Raw genomic sequence first — 23,725 nt, 5'->3', positions numbered from 1 at the left:
TAGTCAGCCAAGATCCATTACAGGCTCCTGACCTTAGAACTACAAGAAAAAAAAATTCATGTTGTTTTAAGCCACTGTATTTGTGGACATTTGTTACAGCAGTTAATAGAAAACTAATACAGATTTTGAAAATGCACTACTGAAGCTCAGGTGCAGAGATGATCACTATTATTATTACAATGTTGTAAAGATGGTTCACGACCACTCCTTGTGTGCCTGGCGCACTGCGAAACTCTTGACCTGCACAGCTGATTGAATCTTCACAACCACCTGGGAGGCAGGCGCTATCATTCTCCCCATTTCACGGATGAGAACGCTGCAGCACCCAGAGGTTAGATGACTTGCCCAAGGTCCCTGGCTAGTGTGTGGCCAGACTGAGACTTGAACCCAGATCACTGGTTGGGTTGCTCTTAGCTCTGTGACATGGCTTTTTTTTTTTTTTTTTTTTTTTTTGAGAGGGAGTCTTGCTCTGTCGCCCAGGCAGTGGCATGATCTCAGCTCACTGCAACCTCCGCTTCCTGGGTTCAAGCGATTCTCCTGCCTCAGCCTCCCGAGTAGCTGGAATTACAGGTACACACCACCACACCTGGCTAATTTTTTTTTTTTTTTTGTATCTTTAGTAGAGACGGGGTTTCACCATGTTGGTCAGGCTGGTCTCGAACTCCTGACCTCAAATGATCTGCCTGTTTCAGCCTCCCAAAGTGCTGGGATTACAGGTGTGAGCCACTGCACCTGGCCAGCTTCTTGGTAAGAGAAAAATTTGACCATCGAGTGGAAGAAACAAGGAGTGAGCAGGTGGAGCCGGGATGTGGCTTTGGATGGGCAGTGAGGCACGACCGTGTTCCAGGAGAGCAGCAGCGTGAGGGAAGGGTGGTGCCTGGGAGCCCAGGGGTGTCCCTGTGTCCAACAGCTTGGGCCACAGTAACAAAACATACCACAGACAACAAACATTTATTTCTCACAGTTCAGGAGGCTGCAAGTCTGAGATGAGTGTACCTGAGGCTGGGTTCTGCCTTCTCACTGTATCCTTGCAGAGTGGAGGTCCAGGGTCCAGGGTCCCTTCTATAAGGGCACCAATTCCATTCACGAGGGCTCCACCCTCATGGCCTAATCACCTCCCACAGGAGGTGTATCCATGATGACGTTGATATACAACACTGGGCCACAGTGAGGGAACTAGGAGACATCCATGGGATGCCTGGTGAAAAAAACAAAAAGATTACTATTTCTTTATCTTATATAATTATGATAGGAAAAAATGAAATATAAAGTATTAGGAAAGACTTGTGTAAAACATCCAAATGAAACCTCCTAAACTTCTCAAAATGAGAAATGAGCTTGCTTTCGTGAGCACTTTTTAATATGAGGTGTTTTTTTGCATGAAATGACCACAGGCAATTCCTATTCGAGGCTCTTTATTTTATTTATTTATTTATATTTCTGAGACAGAGTCTCGCTCTGTCACCCACACTGGAGTGCAGTGGCATGATCTTGGCTCACTGCAACCTCCATCTCCTGGGTTCAAGTGATTCTCCTGCCTCAGCCTCCTGAGTAGCTGGGATTACAGGTGCCCGCCACCACACCCAGCTAATTTTTGTATTTTTAGTAGAGATGGGGTTTCACCATGTTGGCCAGGCTGGTCTCGAACTCCTGACCTCAGGTGATCCTCCCGCCTCGGCCTCCCAAAGTGTTGGGATTATAGGTGTGAGCCACCACACCCAGCCATTTTTGTATTTTTAGTAGAGACGAGGTTTCACCATGTTGGCCAGGCTGGTCTGGAACTCCTGATCTCAAGTGATCCGCCCATCTCGGTGTCCCAGTGTGCTAGGATTTCAGGCATGAGCCACACCACTCCCAGCTCATCAGGTCTTTTTTTTTTTTTTTTTTTTTTTTGAGATATAGGAGTCTCACTCTGTCACCCAGGCTGGAGTGCAATGGCGCGATCTCGGCTCACTGCAACCTCTGTCTCCTGGGTTCAAGCGATACTCCTGCCTCAGACTCTCGAGTAGCTAGGACTACAAGCGTGCGCCACCACGCCCGGCTAAGTTTTTGTATTTTTAGTACAGACAGGGTTTCTTGATCTCCTGACCTTGTGCTCTGCCCACCTCAGCCTCCCAAAGTGCTGGGATTATGGGTGTGAGCCACCGCACCCGCCCTCATGAAGGCTCTTTAATGATGATTTCTTCAAATGTTGGATAAACACCACCCACAAAAAAACTTACCCCAAGTAGGTGATAATTTTTTTTTTGAGACAAGGAAAAAATACAAAAATTAGCCGGGCATGGTGATGCACACCTATAGTCCCAGCTGCTCAGGAGCCTGAAGTGGGAGGATGGCTTGGAGGTAGAGGTTATAGTGAGCTGAGATCATGCCACTGCACAGCAGGCTGGGTGACAGAGTGAGACCCTGTCTCAAAAAAAAGAATTAACCCTCACTCTTCACTCTCACTGACAACTGTAACACATTTTTTTTTCAGGCATAGAGACTGGGTCTCTCTATGTTGCCCAGGCTGGTCTTAAACTCCTGGGCTCAAGCAATCCTCCCTCCGTGGCCTCCCAAAGTGTTGGGATTACAGCTGTGAGCCACAGTGCCCACCCTGCAACCAAAATTCTTATGATAATGATTGATTGAGAATCTAATCAAACTATTATTATTATTATTATTATTATTATTATTTATTTAGAGACAAGGTCTTGCTCTGTCATCCAGACTGGAATGCAGTATTGTGATCATGGCTCACCACAGCCTCAAACTCCTGGGTTCAAGTGATCCTCCCACCTTGGCCTCCCAAAAGTGCTGGGATTACAGGTTTAAGCCACTGTGCCCAGCCTCAAGTATTTTAAAATAACACTGCGCTTAGAATTTGCAGAATGTGTATATGTGGTTAGAGCACGCAGTATGGGCACTACTAGAAAGGCACATTATCTACAAACAGGGAGCTGTGTGCAATATACAAGACAGAATTCCAGGTGGCCCCCTGAAACCACTCCTCCTGGTTTCCTGGACCACCCCAAGCCCACCCCAGCTCTGGCATCAGCTCACACCTGCTGTTGGCCATGCACGCAAACACTGCAGGAGACGTGCAGGGTAGGTCGCCTCCATCACTGGACCTCCCTCATCCTGCCATCCACCTATAGTGTTCCCTGGGGAGCCTCTGCAAGGGTCTTCCGGAGGCTACCAGCCTGGGGGCTCCATTTGCCCCAAGCCCAGCCTGACAGCAAGAGGAGCAACATCCTTCCCCACTGTATCCTATTGGTGACACTCCAGCATCTCCACCCAGACCAGCAGAACAGGAGCCTGATTTGCCCAGAAGAGAAAGGCCAAAAAACATTTCCTGACCCCTCCTCCACCCCCCACTCCCAGCCCCACGAGAGAGCTAGCCTGGGTTCCAGTCCCACTCCTCCACCTACAAGCTGGGTAACTCTCAGCTGATAACTTAACCTCTCCAAGCCTCAGTCCCCATCTCTGTAAAATGGGGATGGCAGTACCTGTCCCATAGGATTGTAAGAAGATTACACAGGCAATGCATGTAAGTGCCTGCCATGGGGCTCCACCCAGGGCAAGCCTGGGTCAATGCTGGTTCTGGTCAGTGATACAGAGACCCTCAGACACAAAGATCACTAACGTGGTCACACACACACACGGATACACAGATGCAGAGGCCCAAAGGCACAGTGAGCTCACATGTGGGCACACACATGGGGAGGCACAGATCTGTGGGCCCCATGGGGATGTCCTGGCCAGGCTCTGTCTCAGCCCCAGACCCCACCCCTTTCCCCAGACAGGAGCCCCCCGGCTGGAGCTGGATCTGACCTGCCCTTGGGAGGTCAGGGAGAGCCCTGGGCATCAGAGCGAGCATGCTCAGCTCCTCCTCTTTGATGTGTCTGTGGAGGAGGGCTGGCCAGGTTTCTGCAGGCACTCTGGAGGCCCAAACTCCAGGCATGAAACCCCATCACCCCACCCATTTAATTTTTTCACCCCCTTGCTGTCAGCATGCAGACCCCTTTATTTTTTGATTGGGGAAGTAGAGGTCGGAGGTGGAGCCAGGAAAGGGTTTGCCATCCACAGCCCACAAACACACAGGCACACCCACAGAGACACAGGCAGGCTGACACAAGGACCCCTGCAGCACACTCACAGGCCACAGCCCCTGCCCAGGCAACTTATCAAATTCAAGTCCTCTGCCAGCAAATCCAGGATGTTTCATTCTACGCCACGTCCACATTAGCACCATCCCCTGCACCACCACTGCCATCCCCTCTGTGGCTAGTATCCCCACGACCACCAGCAGCACCCTCACTGCAGCCACCACCACCGCAGCACCACACCGTCATCGGGGAACTGATGGAGGAGCCCTCTAGGATTCTGATACAGCATGGAGGAGACCCCCAGTGGGAAGGGCAAAAGGAGGGCGATGAGCTTCCTAGGAGCCCAGAAGACAAGGTCCAGGACCTCAGGCCCCTGCAGCAGCCCTGGACTCTCCAAACTCCAGCCCTGCTGGAGACAGTGTCTTCCCAGTCTGTGTCTGAGCCTTCTCTCCCGCCCCTCCCTCCCTCCCTCCCACACCCACAGAAAGCTGGTCTCTAGCAGGTGCTAGCGCCGGAGGTGGAGGCGGCTGCAGAGAGAGAGAAGCCCAGGAGGGAGGGGCACAGCCCTGGCTGAACCCACAGGATTGGTCAATCTGCATCCTCTCAGCCAGCACCTGACTAAAGATTCCTCAAAGCGACAGTGACCTCAGCCTCTGCTCTGAGCTCTGTTGGTCCCAGCCAGGAGAGCCCGAGTCATGAGGTGGGCACCCAGTGGGCAGGGTGGGCAGCAGGGGCCCTCTTGGAGGCAGCAGTGAGTTGGGAAGAGGAGGCCGGGCCCCACAGCGGGCATGATGGACAAGTTCCGGATGATCTTCCAGTTCCTGCAGTCCAACCAGGAGTCCTTCATGAATGGCATCTGTGGCATCATGGCCCTGGCCAGTGCCCAGATGTACTCGGCCTTCGACTTCAACTGCCCCTGCCTGCCGGGCTACAATGCAGCCTACAGCGCGGGCATCCTGCTGGCGCCACCCCTGGTGCTCTTTCTGCTTGGCCTGGTCATGAACAACAACGTGTCCATGCTGGCCGAAGAGTGGAAGCGGCCGCTGGGCCGCCGGGCCAAGGACCCCGCTGTGTTGCGCTACATGTTCTGCTCCATGGCCCAGCGCGCCCTCATCGCGCCTGTCGTCTGGGTGGCCGTCACGCTACTCGACGGCAAATGCTTCCTCTGTGCCTTCTGCACTGCCGTGCCCGTGAGCGCACTGGGCAACGGCAGCCTGGCACCCGGCCTTCCTGCCCCCGAGCTCGCCCGCCTGCTGGCCCGGGTGCCCTGCCCTGAGATCTACGATGGCGACTGGCTGTTGGCCCGAGAGGTGGCCGTGCGTTACCTCCGCTGCATCTCCCAGGTGAGGGGCCGCATGGCTTCACGCTGGGTCTCCCTGGCAGATCAAGGTCCCTCTGGGAGGGCCCTATCCCCCTACCTCTCAAAATGGGGCCTCTGCTCAGGTGGAGCTCCGAGGTGTGGGGGGCATCTTCCCAACTGAGGCTGAAGGCAGAGCCACGCATCTGCCCTCAGCCCAGGGCCATCCGGAGAACGTGCTTTGGCTCCCTCTGTCCAGAGGCTTCTGGTGAGTGGGCCTGACCCCTATCCTGAGGTCCCCAGAGTGGACCTGCATCCCCATCCTGATTTCTGAGCTTGGAAGCTGGAGGAATTTGCATGCTTTCCCTCTTCCGGGCCTCGGCAGTGGTGAGGCCAGTGGGTGGCTAGGCCATTTGGGTACATTTCCCTAGCAAATGCCCCCATCTGGTGCTTCCCTGCTGGGGAGTGGGAGCTGAGGACCAGGGTGTCCTGGAAGGGGGTGCATGGGTGAGAGAGAGGAGGCCCTGTTGGGATGTGATGGAAAGGCAGTTTGGAGAGACCACTGACGGGTCAGCCAGAGTGAGGGTCCTCCCCAGCCCTACTCCCACATCCTCTGCCCCTCCATGCTCACCCATCCAAGCCTCTCGGGCCTTCTCCAACCCAGTCAGTGCCGTGTGGGGAGGACCACCCAGGCAGCCTGCCCTCACAGCTGGCAGACCAGGTGCTGTCAGGGCGAGGGGCTGGGGCCAGCCTGCTCTGCAAGGACTGGAGAAACGTGCACACTCTGCCCTGGCAAGTCCAGACACCCCTGGCTTCCCACTCTAGCAGGGGCCTCTCTCCTGGGAGGCCTCTGTCACCACCCAGATGACCTTGGTGAATGTCATGCTCTAAGCATCCCGACTGAACTCTACTTCCCTCTCCTCCCTAACCTGTGCCTCCTCTCCTGTGGGCACTCATCCCATCGTCCCCGGCCTCAGGGCCTTGGCAGCTGTCATTCCACCTGACCTTTAAGCCACCACATCATAAGCTGAGAGGGCCCCAGAGGCCACAGGCTGCCTGGCCTATACATGTTTCATTTGGCCTTCAGAGACTGAATTCTAGATTCAACTTTAGAATTTGTTGGCATCTTCTAAAAACCAGAATGGGCCGGGTACGATGTGCCTCATGTCTGTAATCCCAGCACTTTGGGAGGCCAAGGCAAGAAGATTGCTAGAGCCCAGGAGTTCAAGACCAGCCTAGGGAATATAGTGAGACCCTGTCTCCAAAAAAGAAAAGAAAAGAAAAAAATTAGCCAGGCTTGGTGGCACATGCCTGTAGTCCCAGCTACACAGGAAGCTGAAGTGAGAGGATTGCTTGAGCCTGGGAGGTCAAGGCTGCAGTGAAATGTAATTGTGCCACTGCACTCTGGCTTGGGTAACGGAGTAAGACCTGTCTCAAAACAAAAAAGTAAATAAGATTAAAATAAAAATCGGAATTTTTCACATAAAAATCAGATTTTCAAGTTGGAAATCCAGAAAATCCAGCCCCACCAGGCCCGCGTGTACTCCTGGAACAGGCTGGGGTGCCCCCAGCCTATGCACATGCTCAGTGGCTCCCCACCCCGTGTGCTCTGTCACGACCTGCCTGGCCCCATAGGCATCTGGGCTTGCCCTCAGCCCCAGTCCTGATCTGCCCAAGTGCTTCTCTGTGCGGCTGGGGCCTAACCCTGAAGCGTGGGCCAGGGGAGCATCCTGCCCCGTGCCCTGCAGTGAGGTGACAGAGCAGAGCTGGAACCAAGCGCAGGGTGCTCTTCAGCGCAGAGTTTGATTTCTTGCCTGATTCGCCTCTATGACCCCTGAAGGCCCAGCTCAGAACCGACACAGAGGAGGTGCTCATTTGGCACTGGTGACAATACTAGGAGCCAAAGGAGAGGTTCAGGACTCAGAGGAAAATGGGCCACTATGGCCTGGGGAGATCAAGGAAGGCTTCCTGAAAGAAGAGGCACAGTAAGTAAGTGAGGGCCTATTGGCACAACAGTAATGGTTAATAGTCACTGAGCACTGGGTACCAGGCACTGCACTAAGCTTATCACATTCAGTCCTCACAACAACACTCTGAGATAGGTGCTACCACCAGCTGCTTTATAGGTGTGGAAACTGAGGCACAGAGAAGTTGAGTGCTTTGCTCCTGGTCAACTAGTAAATAGTGGAGACAGCATTCAAACCCAAGCAGCCTAACTCCAGGGTCTGCCCACTTAACTCCTGGGCCCTGGGTGCCCCGCCAGCACGGTGGGTGCTTTACCCACGTGATCTTCTTTCCATGAGGTGCACCTATCTCCATTATTTCAATTTCTATGCCCATTTTACAGATGAGGAAATGGAGGCCAAGAGGCAAGCTCACTTGCCCAATTTGTGCTCTTTGCCCTAGAGGCACTGGCATAGAGAGTGCTTTGGGAGTCTGAACAGGCTCGGAGGCCCAAGGACAGTGCCCCGTGACTCTCTCTCATCTTCCCACAGGCGCTGGGCTGGTCCTTCGTGCTGCTGACCACTCTGCTGGCATTCGTGGTGCGCTCTGTGCGGCCCTGCTTCACGCAGGCCGCCTTCCTCAAGAGCAAGTACTGGTCCCACTATATCGACATCGAGCGCAAGCTCTTCGACGAGACGTGCACGGAGCACGCCAAAGCCTTTGCCAAGGTCTGCATCCAGCAGTTCTTCGAGGCCATGAACCATGACCTGGAGCTGGGTCACACCCACGGGACACTGGCCACGGCCCCTGCTTCCGCAGCTGCCCCCACGACCCCCGATGGTGCGGAGGAGGAAAGGGAGAAGCTGCGTGGCATCACGGATCAAGGCACCATGAACAGGCTGCTCACGAGCTGGCACAAATGCAAACCGCCTCTGCGGCTGGGCCAGGAGGAGCCACCGCTGATGGGCAACGGCTGGGCTGGGGGTGGGCCCCGGCCTCCGCGTAAGGAGGTGGCCACCTACTTCAGCAAAGTGTGAGGTGTGGCCAGCTGAAGAGGCAGGAACGGGGATCTGAGCCCACAGCCCCTCCAACCCCCAAACCAGGTGGAAAAAGGAAGGGTTTCAGTGCTGGGCAGTACTCCCCTAGGCAGATCCACACTCCCTAGCACTCGCCTGCCCATTGGAGGCAGGAAATTTGGAGCTGGAAGGGGATCTGATGCCTTCAGGTGTGACACTGCCCTGGATGGCCCTAGGGCAGTGGGCCCATGAGCAGTATTAGTCTAAAGGGGTCGGAACTGTCATGGCAGGTACAGGGACCAATGGCTCCCCTCTGCCCAGCCCTTCCCAGGCTGATGTTCACTGTCTCCTCCCAGGTTCAACAGACATCCCTGCCCCAGGGTCCACCCTCGTCTGTGGCTGTTCAGTACCTCTCTTCCTTTATGCTCCGGGCTCGGGGAGTGGGAATCATCAGGCGTCTCATGAAGTGGGAGCCCTCTGATTTGGGCAAGCGTGTCGTAGGTGAGACTGGGTGTGCCGGGGCAGGTCCATAAGGACATGACACACAGCCTACCTGGTGTGACACACCTGGGGTGACAGGCGATGAGACAAGATGTCAGAAGCTAGGTTCACATGGAAGAGGTCAGAGTGTGTGGTCACCATGGGGGTCATGTGACAATTGTCCAGGTGGACTGCATGTTTATTTAGCACAAACCAAGCACAAAAGTCCTCCTGTAGAGGGGTCTTTGAAAAACCACCTTAATACCCCCGTCACATCCAGGTCTCCAGGGGAAATCAGACCATCCCCAAGGCTTGAGAAGTTAGACACAGAAGCTGAAGTCTCTCCATTTTTCTCAAAGACCCCACCTCTTGGGGATGGAGTTCTAAGAGGCTAAGAGGAGCTCCAAGGCTCTAGCCCAGGTGGGATGAGGGTGGAGGAGAGCAGTGTAAAGAGAAAGCAGCTCAGATTCCAGAGTGAGACAGAACTGGGTCAAATGGTGTCTCTACCACTCACAAACCCTGTCCCTGGGCCAGCTGCATCACTGCCTGTGCCTTCGTTTCTTCATCTATACAATGAGGATGAGGCCCCCCCGGCCCGCCATCATGGGGTTGCTGTGTGTAAAAGCACATGGCACATAGTAGGCACCCAGCACAGGGTGGCTAATGTATTTGTTGATTTCTGAACCTAAGGACTTCCTTCCTCCTCCCCTGGGCAGGGATGAGACAGCAACACAAACACTCGAGCTTCCATCTTGTTGAGGAGGAAACAGAGGTACAGATAGGTTTCTCAGCACCGCCCTCAGCTCTGAGACATAAGTCCCAAGCATCTAAGGATTCATTTTGATCTTGGCATGATTCCATCCTTTTTTATCCATCCTTCCCTCTATTCCCACTTCTGGGGTCCAGTTTCCCTCCTCTTAATTATTTGGGAGGAGTTGCTCAGATCTTTGTGGGCCAAGGTGGGCTGGGAGGGCTCTTCCAGGAGGTAGGAGTTGGTATGGGCCCTGAAGTCAGGGAGGATTAGGATGAGCAAAAAACAAGGTGTATGTTGGTGGGTGGCAGCACTTCCAGTGGGAAGAGAAGGCCCGGAGGTATCAGGAGGTACAAATGTGATGAAGAGCAAAGCTTTGGGTCAGGCACACCTGAGTTCAAATACCAGCACTGCAGGACTTGTGGCCAGTCACCCAGCCACTCTAAGCCTCAGTGTGTCTGTCTATAAAATGGATATTAGAAGACCTGCTTGGCCAGGCGGAGTGGCTCATGCCTGTAATCCCAGCACTTGGGAGGCCAAGGAGGGAGGATCACTTGAGCCTGGGAGTTGGAGACCAGCCTGGGCAACATAGCAAGACTCTGTCTCTGTAAAGTAATAATAATAATAAGAAGAAGAAGAAGAATAAAGAGAAGATTTATAATTTTTTTAAAATGAAAAAATTATTTTTTAAAAAAGACCTGATTTTCAGGATTGTGGTAAGGATAGAGGAAGATAACTTTTAGGGAAGGATCTGGGACTGTGTTTAGCACATGCTGGGATCTGAAACAAACAAATAAACAAGCAGAACTTGGTACCTTTTCTTTCCTTCGTACATATGGTCAAGCCCAGCTCAGGGAGGCCAGCGGGTCACTCGGCAGCTCCACCATGACGGAACCACGAGCACTGCAGAGCTGACAGATGTCGGGGGTCCTCTCCCTCCATGCTAAGGGTCATCTAGCCTGTCCGTAGACTCTCCTGTGCAGCATTCCTGACCCGTGACGCTTCAGCCCGCATCTTGACCACTTTTAGATACAGGCTGGGCAGCTCTGATTATTACACAGGGCTTCCTTCAGAAACCTGCCTCCTTGTAACTTTCACCCACCAGTTGGAGCTCTGCCTGCAGGACCCGGAGAATCCCTAGGCTCCTGAATTCAATCCTCAGCCCTCCAGGGATCCGAAGCAGGTCCCGGGGAGTTAGCTGACTATAGGTCAAAGAGTCAGCATTGGGGATGGTTTGTCCAGTCAATGGACAACTCTGAGGGAGAAGGGCCAGTAGAGGGTGGGGCCCTGGCCCTGAGCATCCTGCAGGGCTCAGCGCGGGCCTGACGACACCCTCCCTTGACCCTCGCGGGGTCTCCTTTGGTAGCTTCTGCCCAGCGGGGGTCAAGTACGTGGGGTGCTCTTGAAACTGTCATGGGGGGCAGGTCTGGGTCAGATCTCCCCAATGCCTCCACATCCCCACGTGGCCCTCCCGACTGGTCCCATTGGTGTGGAGCATGGCCCGGTCCGGGTCTGGGCCGAGGGCGGAGGGCCAGCACGGCCCAGGGACGGCGAGCAGCGGGTCGGTGGGACGCGCAGCAGCTGCAGAACAGGCATCTCAACTTCCTCTCGGCTCCTCTCCTCTCGCGCCGCCCTCGGGGCCCGCCCTCCTCTGCCTGGTGGCGCCGGGAGGCTGTTTTTCCACTCACTGGCGCGCAGACTCCATCCCACTGTTTTCTTCTCTCTTTTCTGGAGTTAGATTAGTCTGAAGCCGCCACCAGCCCCAGGCCCCCGTGCAGAAGAAAAGCGGGAGGGAACGGCGGAGGCCGCCGCTGCCCTGCACCGCCCTCCTGGAGGCCACTTGGAGAGTCCGGCCCCGAGGAGGCCATGGCCACAAGTGCCCACAGCTGGCCCCAGGTAAGGAAGGGGCCCTCCCTGGGGTGTGCCAGGTGTCAGCGGAGCATGGTGGGGCCTGTCCCACGCTGCCCAGAGGGAGAGAGGCCCCTAGCTGAGGTTCCCTCCACCCGGTTGAACAGGGAGCAGTCCTGCCCCTCCCCGAGCCGCCAGTCTCCTGTCGTCACTGATGTTGGAGGAGGTCCCACTGGGGGTCTGGATGTGACCCATCCTTGGCCTGGGGGCAGTGGTCTCAGAAGATGGCCTGGCCCATCCTCTGCTCACCACCCACCCTGTGCAGGTATCTTGTACCCCACTTTGAGCCAGTTTATGAACCCAGGGCCTCCACAGGGAGCTAATTAGGAGCCTAGAAGCCAAGAAGGGAAAAGGATGGGGCAAAGGGGGCTGACTTTAACCCATTCTTCCCCAGCAGTGATGCAAACTGCCTTTCCCAGGAAGTTAGGCTGGAAGCTCCAGGCTGTGAAGTGGGGGAAGAATCAGACTCCTCCTCCTCCTCCTCCTCCTCCTCCTCCTCCTGTTGTTCCTCCTGGTCCTCCTCCTCCAGCTTCTCCTTTTCTTGGAGTCTGCATGGCCACATGGCTCTGCCTGAGCCCATCTGGCAGCCTTCCTTGGCAGGGACAGAAGGGGTGATCTAGAAGGGGTGATCCCTCCATGAAGCATGGAAGGGAACAGGGCTAGGTCTGTGTTTGGCGCTCACCCCATCCCTCCACTCCCTGGCTTCCTCTGGCCTGGGGAGTTTTGTTTTTCACCCTCCAGAGGGGGAGGACATGGGGCCACACCCTGGCCTGTCTCTCAGGCTTGTGTGGGTGGAGGCTGGGAAGGGAGTTGGGCTAAACTTCGCTGTTGCCCGAGGCCATGGCCACTTCCCGGCAGGTTGCCAGCGTCGCTACAGCCCAGACCAAGGCAGAATAATCTCCGGATGAGCTGGTGGCACCGCTGAGCCTTTGGTCTCACCAGGGCTTCCTGTTGCTGGCAGGCGGGGTGGAGCGGAGCTGCTGGGAGGCTGCTGGATAGGAGAGGGGTCACGGCTGCGGAAGAGGAGGTTCTTCGGGACACCCGTGGATGGACACGGCAAGGTCAGTAGGAGACAGAAAAAAAGAGGGTTCACTTAGTGCAGAATCACCCTTATCCACTTCCCAAGTCTCCTTAGGTTGTGGTTAGAGGTCCTGCTGTGGCACCTCTGTATTTCTTGGGCCTCAGCAAGGCACTTTATCCTCTTCAGGTCTCAGTTCCCTGATCTTTGCAGGCAGGAGAATCGTCCCCACCCCAAAGACAAGACAGGGTGGAAGAGATGGAGAGTTTCACGCAGAGCACAATCAGGCATCTTTTATTCTTTTCTTTCCCTCCAACATCCCTAGGAAAGAGCAAGGCTCAGGATGATTTATCCTCTTTTCACTGATGAGGAATCTGAGGCCCAGAGAACAGTCATGAAGTGTGATCAGACCCTGAGGTCTCCAAAAAGATAATGTCCTTGCGAACTCCAGGGATTCTGGCATCTTGCTGTACCCACCCCAGCCCACACGGCAGGATCCTATCCAAGTCCCTTATCCACCCGGACACTCACTTTAGCTTTTACACCCTCAAGGCTGAGACCCTAAGGACACGCCCTGGATCCAAGGAGTCCCTGGCCCCTCTGCTAATATGCGCCACCTGGACTCCCAGAGGGAAAGCCGGTCAGCACCCCACATGCATTAGCACCATGGGCCACCCCCAAGCCCTACCCCAGGAGAAGCTCGTGGTGGCAAAAAGAACCTAAGCATTTGAGGCAGGTCACCCAAGCTTGAATCTCAGTCTGCCTCTCATCTGTGACCCTGGCGAGCCACTCGTCCTCAGGAAGCCTTCACTTTCCCTAGTGCACGGCGGGCACACAGCTCAACGTGGGACTGTGAGGATGGGAAATGAGGGGTGCCATGCACCCTGGAGGAACTCAGTGAACAGTGGCAACTGTCACTTCCCTGGGGCCCTATGGTCCTTCCTTTCTCCCCAGCCTGTCCACACTAGCATCTTCCTCAACTCCTGGTTTTCAGAGGGAAACACTTATCGGTCATCTGCTCCACAGGAAACACCAGGCCAACCACAGCTGGGGATAAAATAGCACAACCACACCCTGCCGTCCAGCGCCTCCCAGCCTGTGCCCCTTCCTAGTACCACCAGCAACCATCAATCCCGTCTCCTCCTGCCTCCTCTCCTGCAATCCACCCCGCCACGACTATCGCCATGGCAGCCCTGATCGCAGAGAACTTCCGCTTCCTGTCACTTTTCTTCAAGAGCAAGGATGTGATGATTTTCAACGGCCTGGTGGCACTGGGCACGGTGGGCAGCCAGGAGCTGTTCTCTGTGGTGGCCTTCCACTGCCCCTGCTCGCCGGCCCGGAACTACCTGTACGGGCTGGCGGCCATCGGCGTGCCCGCCCTGGTGCTCTTCATCATTGGCATCATCCTCAACAACCACACCTGGAACCTCGTGGCCGAGTGCCAGCACCGGAGGACCAAGAACTGCTCCGCCGCCCCCACCTTCCTCCTTCTAAGCTCCATCCTGGGACGTGCGGCTGTGGCCCCTGTCACCTGGTCTGTCATCTCCCTGCTGCGTGGTGAGGCTTATGTCTGTGCTCTCAGTGAGTTCGTGGACCCTTCCTCACTCACGGCCAGGGAAGAGCACTTCCCATCAGCCCACGCCACTGAAATCCTGGCCAGGTTCCCCTGCAAGGAGAACCCTGACAACCTGTCAGACTTCCGGGAGGAGGTCAGCCGCAGGCTCAGGTATGAGTCCCAGGTAAGGAGCTGTGCAAAGGGAAGCTCCTCTTCCCTAGTGGTGGCTGGTGAGAGGTCCGGGGATGGCCTAGTGCTAAAGCTGGGGTTGGTCCTCAGGGGCTGAGGTCTGTGGGAAAGCACTAGCGTTAGGTATCAGGGCTGGTTAACTGGTGCATGGTGGGGCAAGGGCCAGTTCCAGACACAAATAAGACAGTTTTATCAATTTTTTTTTTTACTGTAAATCTCAGTTGTATATGACCAAATTAGTTTTAAACATTAAAGGAACATTCTTCTGGCTCAGTCTGGGCCTTAATTGCAATCACAGATAAGCCCCTTACCCCAGCCAGATTGAGCATGGGCCCTTGACAGTGGAGTGTGGCTGGCTCTGGGGATGAACACATTCCTATCCCAGGAAGGGCCCAGCCAAGCACTGAGTCAGCCTCAAGTGTTGCTGACCTAAGGGGAGTCCCTTGGGTCAGGATGGAGTGTTGAGTCAGGAAGATGCAGTTGCCGTCCTGAGCCTTAGCTGGGCTCTGAAGGAGAGGAGGTTGGTCAAGGGACAGAGGGCAAGGGAAGAGAACTGGGAAGTAGCAGAAAATCTCAGCTGCAAGTGTTAACTTAGAGAAGCAGGGGGTGAGGGAGAGACAGGAAGGAGAACAAGTTTTCTTTTTTTTCTTTTTTTTTTTTTGAGACAGAGTCTCACTCTTCTTGCCAGGTTGGAGTGCAGTGGCACGATCTTGGCTTACCGCAGCCTCCGCCTCCTGGGTTCAAGCAATTCTCCTGCCTCAGCCTCCCGAGTAGCTGGGATTACAGGCACGCAGCCACCACATCCACCTAATTTTTGTATTTTTAGTAGAGATGGGGTTTCGCCATGTTGGCCAGGCTGGTCTCAAACTCCTGACCTCAAGGGAGCACAGATTTTCTAAAAGGTTTCTTCAATAGGTAAATAAGAAATGTAAACAGAGGCTGGGCAGTGGCTCACACCTGTAATCTCAGCACTTTGGGAGGCCAAGGCGGGTGGATCACTGGAGGTCAGGAGTTCGAGACCAGCCTGGCCAATATGGTGAAACCCTTTCTCTACTAAAAATACAAAAATTAGCCAGGAGTGGTGGTGGGCACCTGTAATCTCAGCTACTTGGGAGGCTGAGGCAGGAGAACTGCTTGAACCCGGAAGGTGGAGGTTGCAGTGAGCCAAGATCACGCCACTGTACTCCAGCCTGGGCGACAGAGCAAGACTCCATCTCAAACAAAAAAAAAAGACAAAGAAAAAAGAAAAAGAAACGTAAAGAGAGAAAAGGCTGGAGATAGCACCAGAGCGGGAAGATGGTAGACAAAGAAATGATACTTATTTGATGCTGATCAAATGCCCCCAGATCTCTGTACAGGAGCAAGTGGTGAAACAAGGATGACCTTGCCTGTCCTTGCCCTCCAAGCATTTCAGACAAGCACATGTGTGACCTCCAAACAAGGCAGATGGTGATGAGAGGAACCAGGCCACGGGAGATTCAGAAAAGGCACAAGTGCTCCCAGAGGGGCCTTTGAAGCCTTCCCAGAGGTGGCATCTGAGCTGAGCCTGGCAGGTTGAGCTGGGTTTTGATGGCCTGAGATGATGGCAGGGGAAGGAGGTGCTCTTAAGTTTGCAGGGGTGGCAGCAGAAAACGCAGGCTAAGTCTAAGCGCAAGTAGAGTGTGAGTTAAAGGGGGTAAGGAAACGATGGAATCACAGCCACAAGGGCCTGCTTCTCTTACCCAAGCAGAACTTGCTCCTTTTCCATTCGCTCTGGGGGGTAGGGCTTAGGCAGTTCCTCGCCCCTCCTGAACTGTGCCCATTCTCTGGCCAGCTCTTTGGATGGCTGCTCATCGGCGTGGTGGCCATCCTGGTGTTCCTGACCAAGTGCCTCAAGCATTACTGCTCACCACTCAGCTACCGCCAGGAGGCCTACTGGGCGCAGTACCGCGCCAATGAGGACCAGCTGTTCCAGCGCACGGCCGAGGTGCACTCTCGGGTGCTCGCTGCCAACAATGTGCGCCGCTTCTTTGGCTTTGTGGCGCTCAACAAGGATGATGAGGAACTGATTGCCAACTTCCCAGTGGAAGGCACGCAGCCACGGCCACAGTGGAATGCCATCACCGGCGTCTACTTGTACCGTGAGAACCAGGGCCTCCCACTCTACAGCCGCCTGCACAAGTGGGCCCAGGGTCTGGCAGGCAACGGCGCGGCCCCTGACAACGTGGAGATGGCCCTGCTCCCCTCCTAAGGAGGTGCTTCCCATGCTCTTTGTAAATGGCACTACTTGGTCCCAAACTGAACCCCACTGCTTGCTCACATCCATATCAGAAGGGGATTTTTAAAAAACTGTTATCTTCTTGGCCAGGGGAAAGGACCACAAGGCAATCTGGGGTGTGGACAGACCCAGTAGACAATGGAAGCCCCAGCCAGCAGGGCCAGGTGACAGTGAAGCTCACCAGTGGGCTCCTTTATGGTACTCTATGCAGTTAACATGTATCTAGCTGCATAGGGACACCCAGCGCAGCAGTGCACCACTGGGAAGTGGCCTCCAGTGCAGCCTCTGGCCTTATTTTATATATTTAAATTTTTGATAAAGTTTTTCTTACTAAAAGGACTAGCCTGGTGTCTGTGTGATTGAATGGGCATGCCACAGCAGGCTGGTGGTCATAGGGCCAGGCCCAAATCCTATGCCGTGTTAGGGAAGGGGACAGGACTAAAATGGCCCACAGGGGTGGCAGGGAGGGTGCAGTGAGTACCAGGGGTTCAACACAGGGGAAGGCTCTGGGGCTGATGATCTCTTTGCAGTTGGGTTCTATTATCTGATTTGGTGTGGGGAAGAGATGAAGCCTGGCCTTTCTCAGAAGGAAACAGTCTGAAATTTCACGAGTCAGAAGATTCTGCGCTCAGTGGGCAGGCCAGAACTAGCTCTCGTAACCTAGTGCTCATGTCCAAGAAGCAGGCCAGCCCCAGCTTCTCCTTCCTCCCATCCCTGCCCGCCACCCGCCCCACCTCTAGAACCTTTGGATGCTCTCCCTTGGCCCTGTCCGGCTTCCTGGCATATGACTCAGTCATTTCCCATGGAAAAGCTCTCAGGACACTTAAAGCTCTGCCAGAGAAAACGTTTAATTCCCTCATGACCAAGACAAAAAAGAACTGGCTTCAACAACTAGCTGGGTCTGTGCTGGCCTCCAAGACCTTGAATAGCCCAGATATGGAGAGGTTAGGTAATGTGGCCATAGTGGGCGTGGGATGAGACATCATCAGTTCACGCCAACACCCGTGGCTTTCCTCAGCAGCCCAGGTTTCTCCATTTCCCCCTCTGGGCTCTGAATTTGTCCTCCTGTCCCAGACTCATAGCCTCCCCTAAAGGGCAGAAGGTACCAGTGAGGCTGAGGCTGAAGGAACACCCAGAGACTCCAAGATCGGAGGGGAGGGCCCACTCCCTGGAGCCTACTGACCCCCTCCAGCTGGACTGACAGCCTGCCAGGGACAAAGCAGGACCCTGACCACAGGACCCTCGGGAATAGCCCCTCTACTCTTGCTCCCCAGGGAACTCCCCTGGAAGAGGGACCCTCAGCATTTCTGGGAGTCCAGGGGCCTGCTGCCCACAATCCCCAGGTAGCCTCAGATAAGGAAAAAGATAACAAGTTGGTACTGAAAATAAAGCAAGCGAAGAGGGATTTAAAAAATCTCAACTTCCTTTTCATCCTGACAGGATTTCCCCAAGCGTGCTGCAGAAAAAGCAGCATTTAAATAGAGTCCTGAGGTAACAGTTTTCCGAGTGCCCAGGCACTCGAGGCGGGGCCGGGCTGGCCCATTGTTGACAGTGTCCCACAGAGCCAGCCTGCCACTAGTCCTCTAGCACTGAGCTCTTGGCCTCCACATACTCCAGGGCCTTGGCCTTGACTGCCTGCACATCCTTCTCAGTGCCATGCTGCTTCTCGTAGTCCAGGTAGCGCTTGAAGAAGAACTTCATTCTCTTGGGGGCCAAGCTCAGATGAATGACCCGCTCAAAGATGTCCCTGTTGAGGAAAAGCAGAGTGGCATTTGCCTGTCAGTCCCAGGTCACGTGCTTCCTGCCTAGCACTCACCCACTTGCTCTCAGCCCTGGAACCAGGACCCTCTCCCATCCAGGACTCCCACTTCTACCATTATCTTTATTAATCCATGATGAACTCCCATGATGCCTTGGGGAGAGGCACTACCACCCTCATCTTCCAGATGAGCAGATGGACACCCAGAGATGGTAAGGGACTTCCCTGCCTAAAGCCACACAGTGATCAAGACAAAGCTACTGGGATGGGGGACACAACAGTGAGAAACATACATAGTGAAGGGCTTGGGTGAGGCACCTGTTCTTTTTGGACCTCAGTCTACTCATCTCTAAACCCTCCCTGTCTTGTGGAGACGCTGGGGTCAAAAGCAAGAGAATGCCTGTGAAAGTAGTCTACAATGAGAGTCAGGAACAGTGTTAATTATGAGAGAAACTCGAGTCTCTTGACAAGGCTACCTCCTACCAATGGTTTCAGACACAGACCAGATGCTGGCCTTTGAGGCAGAAAGAGGAGTTGAAGTGAATGTCACTGGGCCTGGGGCATCACATCTAGCTGGTTTTCTAGATCAAGTAAGAGAACTGGGATGCTGAGAGCTGCTGTGGGACCAGTGCCTACCACGCCCTCTCCTGAGGAACTCGGCCTTGGCCAGCTGCCCCACTCACCGGACGTCCTTCTGGCTGCCGTGCTTGATGGTCATGTCGATATAGACCGACCAGACATCTGTGCGCTTTGGGTAGGTGCTCAGCGTGTTCTCAAAAATGGCTTTGGCCCGCTCTGCATCCCCCAGCTGAAACTCAAGCTGGGCAAACTTGGCAATGACATCCACATCTGCAGGGAGAGGACTGCTCAGAGACCCAACAAGCAGACAGCCCCCTCACCACAACACAGTGTTCCGCAGGGTCAGCGTGCACCTGACTCCCTGCTCTTGGGTCCCAAGACTCAGGTTGTGACAAGAGGGACAAAGACCCAAAAGGGGTGGGTTTGGGGCCAAATACACAGATGGGCACTGCAGACACACCACTCTCTGGGCACAGAAGAGGTGGGGGATCCCAGGGGCAACAGAACTAGTACTAACTGCGTTTTGTTCCTCCATCTTTTGGAGCCTGACATTTGAAATTTAACATGCACTGTTATGCTGAGGGGCAGAGAATCAACAGGCAGCAAGAGGAAAGCCCTCACAAGGCTCTCCTGACTTAGAAGAAGCAATGCCACAGCCAGTTCCTACTCCCCGATCCTGGAGTGCTCATGGGCTCAGGAGCTGGGAATGAGCACTCACGCTCCTTGCTAGGCAGGCACTCCAGGGCTCGCTGCAGCACGCGGTGACTGGCTGCAGCCTGGCTCCTCCGCAGAAGGAAGGCGCCGTATTTGATCCACACAGCTTTCTCCTGCCGGAAACGCTTCAGCATCCGGTTGTAGAGTTCACCAGCTTCCTGTGGGAAAAGACGAGGCACGCTGAGGAGAGTGTGATACTACAGAGGGGACAAGACAGACAAGCAGCAACACTCACAAGAAGCTAGACCTGGGCTCCCAGACACCAAATCACTCTCAGGGCCTAATGCTAGAGACCTGAGAGGAGCGGGAGGGAGGCTCACAGAAGGGCACCGTGAACAGGCACAACACGACGGAGGGGATTCCCTGCTGATCCGCACCCATGGGAGGGCGGTCCTAGCCTAGAACATGAGAATGACAAGGGGGAGTAGGAGAGACGCCAGAGCGGATGCTGGGCCGGGACGTCCCCTTCTGTCTGTGATGCCCTGCCAGCAGCCCAAGGCAGACACACCAGGGGTCCACTGCCCCTTCACTTCCAAAGCCACTCCTTCCCTCACCTTGACCCCACAGGCCTGAAGAAGAGGTGAGGGAAATGACTTCTTTTACTTGGAAGATAGGGAAGTTGGGGCCCCGATGTTGGGTGGCAAGCTCACAGCAGGACTGGACCCAGCACCCCAGGGGCTCTTCTCTGAGATTGTGGCCCTGGAACTCCCAGGAGTTCGTCTGTGGCCCAACCTCCTACCTGGAATTTCTCTGACTTGGCGTAGATGTCAGCCAGGTGGAGAAAGACTTTGAGAGGCTCGTTGTACTGCACGGCTCGCTCAAAGACCTTGGTCAGGGACTCCTGAGAGCCGTACATGTTCTCCAGGTTCAGCAGAGCCACCCACACGTTCAGCTTCTCCTGCTCCTCTCTGGAGGGAGAGCAGTCAGCACATGAGCGCCACATGAAACCAGTGAGCCTCCCGCCCCATCCAGACAGACTCAGGAACCACCTCCCCCTCCCAGCCTCTATCTGTGTCCTCAGATCCCACCCCAAATGTAGACCCTAAGAGGCTGTGTCCCCACAGCTCCTGCAGCATTAGAAACCCCTGCCCCAACCCCAATGGCTGAGTCTGAGGCTCTCCTGGATTCTGCCTCCATTCCTAGAAAGGATGCCCACCAGATCCCAAACGGGCCTGAGGTTTGGGCTGGACGCAGAGTCCTGGGTCTGATTCTCTCTTCAAGCTAAGAGGATGAAGCAAAGGACTGCCTTCCCTCTTCATTAGGCCTCAAAAACTCCCTCTGTTTGGAAAACCACCACAGGGATTTCGCCCAGGTATGTAGTGAGTTCTTTTCTTACTGTGTTTCTGCTCAAACTGGTTCCCTCATATAAGTGTATGGACTCTTGTGAAGGTTACCCTTAGCAGTTTCAGGGAAGAAGACTATAAAATATAAATGAGTAGATCTATTTCACAGATGGCCGCAGCTATGGCAGAAAGCCTGAGGACCCATGGGCCCCTGGTGGCAGCCACCCAAAATGCTGCCGGCCTGCCTAGGAGGAGCTACCCCACAGGTTGAGAAACTTCCCAGCCCAGAACGTGCGAAGACACTGTGCTCCCTGGGGCAAAGCTGAGACCTGAAGGAGATGGTCTTAAGGGCCCTCTCAGCCACGGCACGGGCCTTCTCGATCTCCGTGGCCTGCAGGTGGAAAGCCATGTACTGCAGCCACAGAATGGAGCTGTTGGGGGAGCTCAGCACCAGTCGGTCAAAATCATCCGCGGACTCTGGCTGCCGCCCAGGATCCATCAGCGCCTCCTCAATGCGGGACAGTTCCTTCTCTGCCTTCTGCTTCTCCAACTCCCTTTCTTTCTTGCTTTTCTTTATCTGCTATGGAAAGCAGAAACACCGTGAGTCATCTGCTCCTCAAGGCCTAGGGGAGGTCTGTGGTGGAAGTCACGAGTTGGCTGGGCAGCCCAGGGCTCTATATATACCCCCTGGCCTGGGACTGGCCGCTGCCCCCTCCCCCACTCACCCAGGAAGACACCCAGTCTAGGAACAGAGCACAAGAGACTGACACCAAGGGGTCCCTGCAAAAAGGACATGCCCTGCAAAATACAGCACCGTGGCTTGGTGTGGCTTCTCATCCTCCTCGCTGTCTGAGCTCTCTGCTAGAGGTGGCAAGGCCGGGGTCAGAGAGTCTAGTCCCACATTCCAAGCGAAGCCTGAAGACAGCTGCAGCCGGGGCGCTTCTGCTGGCTTGGTTTGCTTCTCCTGGAGGAACACAGAGGCGCTAAAGAAAGCACCTGGCTCAGGCTGCTCCCTGTTCCCCCGTGCCAGCCCACCTGGAGGAGCATGGACTCCTACCAAGCCCAGAGACCCCTCCTCTCCTCTCCTCTCCTCCTAGGCCATGCCAGGCCCCAGCCCACTGGGGAAACTTTATAGCAGTGACATAAAAGTTTTCTTTGTAAATACATTTATTTAGATAACAAAATTTTCACACACACACATGCATATGCATACCAGTATATAAAATAACAGTAGAAGCCAGGTGTGGTGGCTCACACCTGTAACCCCAACACTTTAAGAAGCTGAGGCGGGCCGATCATTTGAAGTCAGGAGTTCGAGACCAGCCCGGCCAACATGGCGAAACCCCCTCTCTACTAATACAAAAATTAGCCAGGCATGGTGGTGCATACCGGCAGTCTCAGCTACTCGGGAGGCTGAGTCATGAGAATTGCTTGAACCTGGAAGGCAGAGGTTGCAGTGAGCCAAGATCACACAACTGCACTCCAGCCTGGATGACAAAGCGAGACTCTGTCTCAAAATAATAAAAATAAAAATAACAGTAGAGCTGGGACAGAGAGATGACAATAATTCTGAGGGTGGCAGGGAGGCCCTGCCCAGATGGTTATAAGCCATCCCATACCCGGTCCTCTCAGCCCAGGTATTACTATTCTCATCTTTTGGAGGATGCAGGCTCAGAACGGCTCAGCCTCCTCTTTCTCTGCCCAGCCTCCTAATTTAATTCAGTTCCACCCAATAAATATTCCTTAGAATTTATTTTATGCAGCCTGCTCTGGGTAAAAAGGGTCCCTTGTCCTCAAGGAGCTGACGGTCAATGGAGGCAACTGACAGCCCCTGCTTTCGTATTTTATAGGAAATGAAGTAAAAGAGGATGAGGCAGAGGATGGCCCAGCTCTTCCCTTGCCTGGAGCAGCCTTCCCCTCCCCGCGACGTCACCCTCACCTTGGGCAGCACATTCGTCTCTTCTGCCTCCTCTTTTCCCTCCCGATAGTACACGTCCACAAGGCTGTCGTCCTCCTCTGACAGGCCGGCTTTCTTTGGCTTCTTGCTCACTCTTTCCTGAGAGGCCAGGTGGGAGAATGCCTAGGAGCATCCTCCTGCAGCCCCAGGCGACACCCTCCCTCGGCCCCACTGGGTGCCCTGTCCCCACGCCCTCATGGCTGTCCCTCCAGGAGGAGGATAGGCAGCCACAGCCCTCCGCAGGACCTCACCTGCTCACTCCCAGACTCCCGGCACTCCCGCCCGCCCCGCTTCTGCGCCTGTGGCTTCTGGGGCTGTTGCTTCTCCTTGCTGGGCATCTCCACCTCCTCCTGCCCCTTCTGGTTCTTCTTCTCGTTCCTTTTCTGATTTTTCTTTTCCCCTTTTTGGTCTCTCTCCTCAGCCTCTGTTTTCCTCTCCTCTTGCTTTGTAAGTTGCCCTTCCAAGGAAGCAGAAAGCACGTCTGGCTTCCCAGTGTCTCCGGGGAGGAAAGACAGCTCTACCAGGTTCTTCTGGTGGTTAAGGCTATGACAGAGCAAGATGGGGAGGTAAAGACATCATAAAAAGCAGAGGGCACCACAGGCGGCCCAGGCCTTTTTCCTCCTGATCAGCCCACGATTCTGGGCCCTGCCCCCATCTGCCTTGGGAGTCCTTTCAATATTCTCAAGAATGATTTGCACAATTTTTCATGCTTAGTAGAAAAATACAGGGGGTAGATGTGATGCCCCCTCCACCATCCCCAACAACAGGAGCTATGCAGAGATAAGTTACCACCTGTTTTCACAGGCACTGGGGGAGAAGGTTCCAAACAAAGGCCTTTTATTCATCTGAACACCACTACGCAAGCCATTATGTTTACAGTTCACCCTGAAATCTCCTCCCAGGGCTCCTGGAGAAAGGGGTTTGATTCAC

General features: G+C 54.6%; 3 protein-coding genes and 1 long non-coding RNA gene across 37 annotated transcripts in view, besides 7 other annotated features; 2 read left to right on the top strand and 2 right to left on the bottom strand.

Moving 5' to 3' along the window:
- Positions 933 to 11,185, bottom strand: LOC124902494 (uncharacterized). Its single transcript, XR_007062275.1, has 2 exons — positions 10,392 to 11,185; positions 933 to 1,198 (listed from the first exon to the last, which is right to left on the bottom strand). It is a non-coding gene; the product is annotated as an uncharacterized LOC124902494 (long non-coding RNA).
- Positions 4,718 to 4,877: an enhancer, noted in NCBI's record as "active region_3961". NCBI's record gives its function as "activates an Ori minimal core promoter by ATAC-STARR-seq in GM12878 lymphoblastoid cells {active_cell/tissue: GM12878}" and the evidence as "EXISTENCE:reporter gene assay evidence [ECO:0000049][PMID:35858748]".
- Positions 4,728 to 10,388, top strand: CALHM1 (calcium homeostasis modulator 1). Its single transcript, NM_001001412.4, has 2 exons — positions 4,728 to 5,431; positions 7,881 to 10,388. The coding sequence occupies exons 1-2, from the start codon at positions 4,877 to 4,879 to the stop codon at positions 8,364 to 8,366; spliced, it is 1,041 nt and encodes a 346-aa protein (NP_001001412.3). The 5' UTR covers positions 4,728 to 4,876; the 3' UTR covers positions 8,367 to 10,388.
- Positions 10,857 to 11,186: a silencer, noted in NCBI's record as "silent region_2780". NCBI's record gives its function as "represses an Ori minimal core promoter by ATAC-STARR-seq in GM12878 lymphoblastoid cells {active_cell/tissue: GM12878}" and the evidence as "EXISTENCE:reporter gene assay evidence [ECO:0000049][PMID:35858748]".
- Positions 10,857 to 11,646: a biological region, named in NCBI's record as "H3K4me1 hESC enhancer GRCh37_chr10:105211739-105212360".
- Positions 11,025 to 11,646: an enhancer, noted in NCBI's record as "H3K4me1 hESC enhancer chr10:105211739-105212360 (GRCh37/hg19 assembly coordinates)". NCBI's record gives its function as "activates a minimal SCP1, AML or CMV promoter by ChIP-STARR-seq in primed H9 embryonic stem cells {active_cell/tissue: H9 hESC(primed)}" and the evidence as "EXISTENCE:reporter gene assay evidence [ECO:0000049][PMID:30033119]".
- On the top strand, positions 11,258 to 16,842 carry CALHM2 (calcium homeostasis modulator family member 2). 30 transcript variants are annotated; one of them, XM_047425278.1, is made up of 5 exons: positions 11,258 to 11,472; positions 11,592 to 11,749; positions 12,427 to 12,545; positions 13,529 to 14,228; positions 16,060 to 16,842. In XM_047425278.1, the coding sequence occupies exons 4-5, from the start codon at positions 13,687 to 13,689 to the stop codon at positions 16,106 to 16,108; spliced, it is 591 nt and encodes a 196-aa protein (XP_047281234.1). In that variant the 5' UTR covers positions 11,258 to 11,472; positions 11,592 to 11,749; positions 12,427 to 12,545; positions 13,529 to 13,686; the 3' UTR covers positions 16,109 to 16,842. The 30 variants fall into 30 exon arrangements, 28 of the variants coding, with proteins under 28 accessions (XP_047281234.1, XP_047281226.1, XP_047281231.1 ...); XM_047425270.1 differs by having other exon boundaries at positions 12,828 to 14,241; XM_047425275.1 differs by having other exon boundaries at positions 12,343 to 12,545.
- Positions 11,647 to 12,267: an enhancer, noted in NCBI's record as "H3K4me1 hESC enhancer chr10:105211118-105211738 (GRCh37/hg19 assembly coordinates)". NCBI's record gives its function as "activates a minimal SCP1, AML or CMV promoter by ChIP-STARR-seq in primed H9 embryonic stem cells {active_cell/tissue: H9 hESC(primed)}" and the evidence as "EXISTENCE:reporter gene assay evidence [ECO:0000049][PMID:30033119]".
- Positions 11,647 to 12,585: a biological region, named in NCBI's record as "H3K4me1 hESC enhancer GRCh37_chr10:105211118-105211738".
- Positions 12,216 to 12,585: an enhancer, noted in NCBI's record as "active region_3960". NCBI's record gives its function as "activates an Ori minimal core promoter by ATAC-STARR-seq in GM12878 lymphoblastoid cells {active_cell/tissue: GM12878}" and the evidence as "EXISTENCE:reporter gene assay evidence [ECO:0000049][PMID:35858748]".
- Positions 16,843 to 17,333: 491 nt separating the features above from the next.
- The window catches only part of PDCD11 (programmed cell death 11), a 49,669-nt gene continuing 43,277 nt past the window's right edge, over positions 17,334 to 23,725 (bottom strand). For 3 of the 5 annotated variants that reach the window (NM_001437421.1, NM_001411058.1, XM_011539540.2), the window contains 8 exons: positions 23,047 to 23,338; positions 22,778 to 22,894; positions 21,653 to 21,802; positions 21,168 to 21,418; positions 20,295 to 20,463; positions 19,560 to 19,713; positions 18,946 to 19,111; positions 17,334 to 18,250 (listed from right to left, as the gene is read on the bottom strand). In NM_001437421.1, coding sequence (NP_001424350.1) covers positions 18,079 to 18,250; positions 18,946 to 19,111; positions 19,560 to 19,713; positions 20,295 to 20,463; positions 21,168 to 21,418; positions 21,653 to 21,802; positions 22,778 to 22,894; positions 23,047 to 23,338 — 1,471 coding nt within the window. In that variant the 3' untranslated portion in view covers positions 17,334 to 18,078. The remainder of the gene's footprint in view (positions 18,251 to 18,945; positions 19,112 to 19,559; positions 19,714 to 20,294; positions 20,464 to 21,167; positions 21,419 to 21,652; positions 21,803 to 22,777; positions 22,895 to 23,046; positions 23,339 to 23,725) is intronic. The other 2 variants (NM_014976.2, NM_001437420.1) reach the window with 1 other exon arrangement.

Source organism: Homo sapiens, chromosome 10, assembly GCF_000001405.40.
Source record: "Homo sapiens chromosome 10, GRCh38.p14 Primary Assembly".
In the NCBI taxonomy this organism is placed as follows: domain Eukaryota; kingdom Metazoa; phylum Chordata; class Mammalia; order Primates; family Hominidae; genus Homo; species Homo sapiens.
Note: the sequence above shows the minus strand (reverse complement) of the source record. Positions and strands in the feature narration are given on the sequence as shown.

What these genes read in the sequence shown, in the direction of transcription:
- CALHM1 (NM_001001412.4), top strand. Translation starts at nt 4,877, where the DNA reads ATGATGGACAAGTTCCGGATGATCTTCCAGTTCCTGCAGTCCAACCAG. An exon ending in ACCTCCGCTGCATCTCCCAG is followed by an intron (nt 5,432 to 7,880) that starts GTGAGGGGCCGC and finishes ATCTTCCCACAG; the next exon opens with GCGCTGGGCTGGTCCTTCGT.
- CALHM2 (XM_006717883.3), top strand. Translation starts at nt 13,687, where the DNA reads ATGGCAGCCCTGATCGCAGAGAACTTCCGCTTCCTGTCACTTTTCTTC. An exon ending in GGCTCAGGTATGAGTCCCAG is followed by an intron (nt 14,242 to 16,059) that starts GTAAGGAGCTGT and finishes TTCTCTGGCCAG; the next exon opens with CTCTTTGGATGGCTGCTCAT.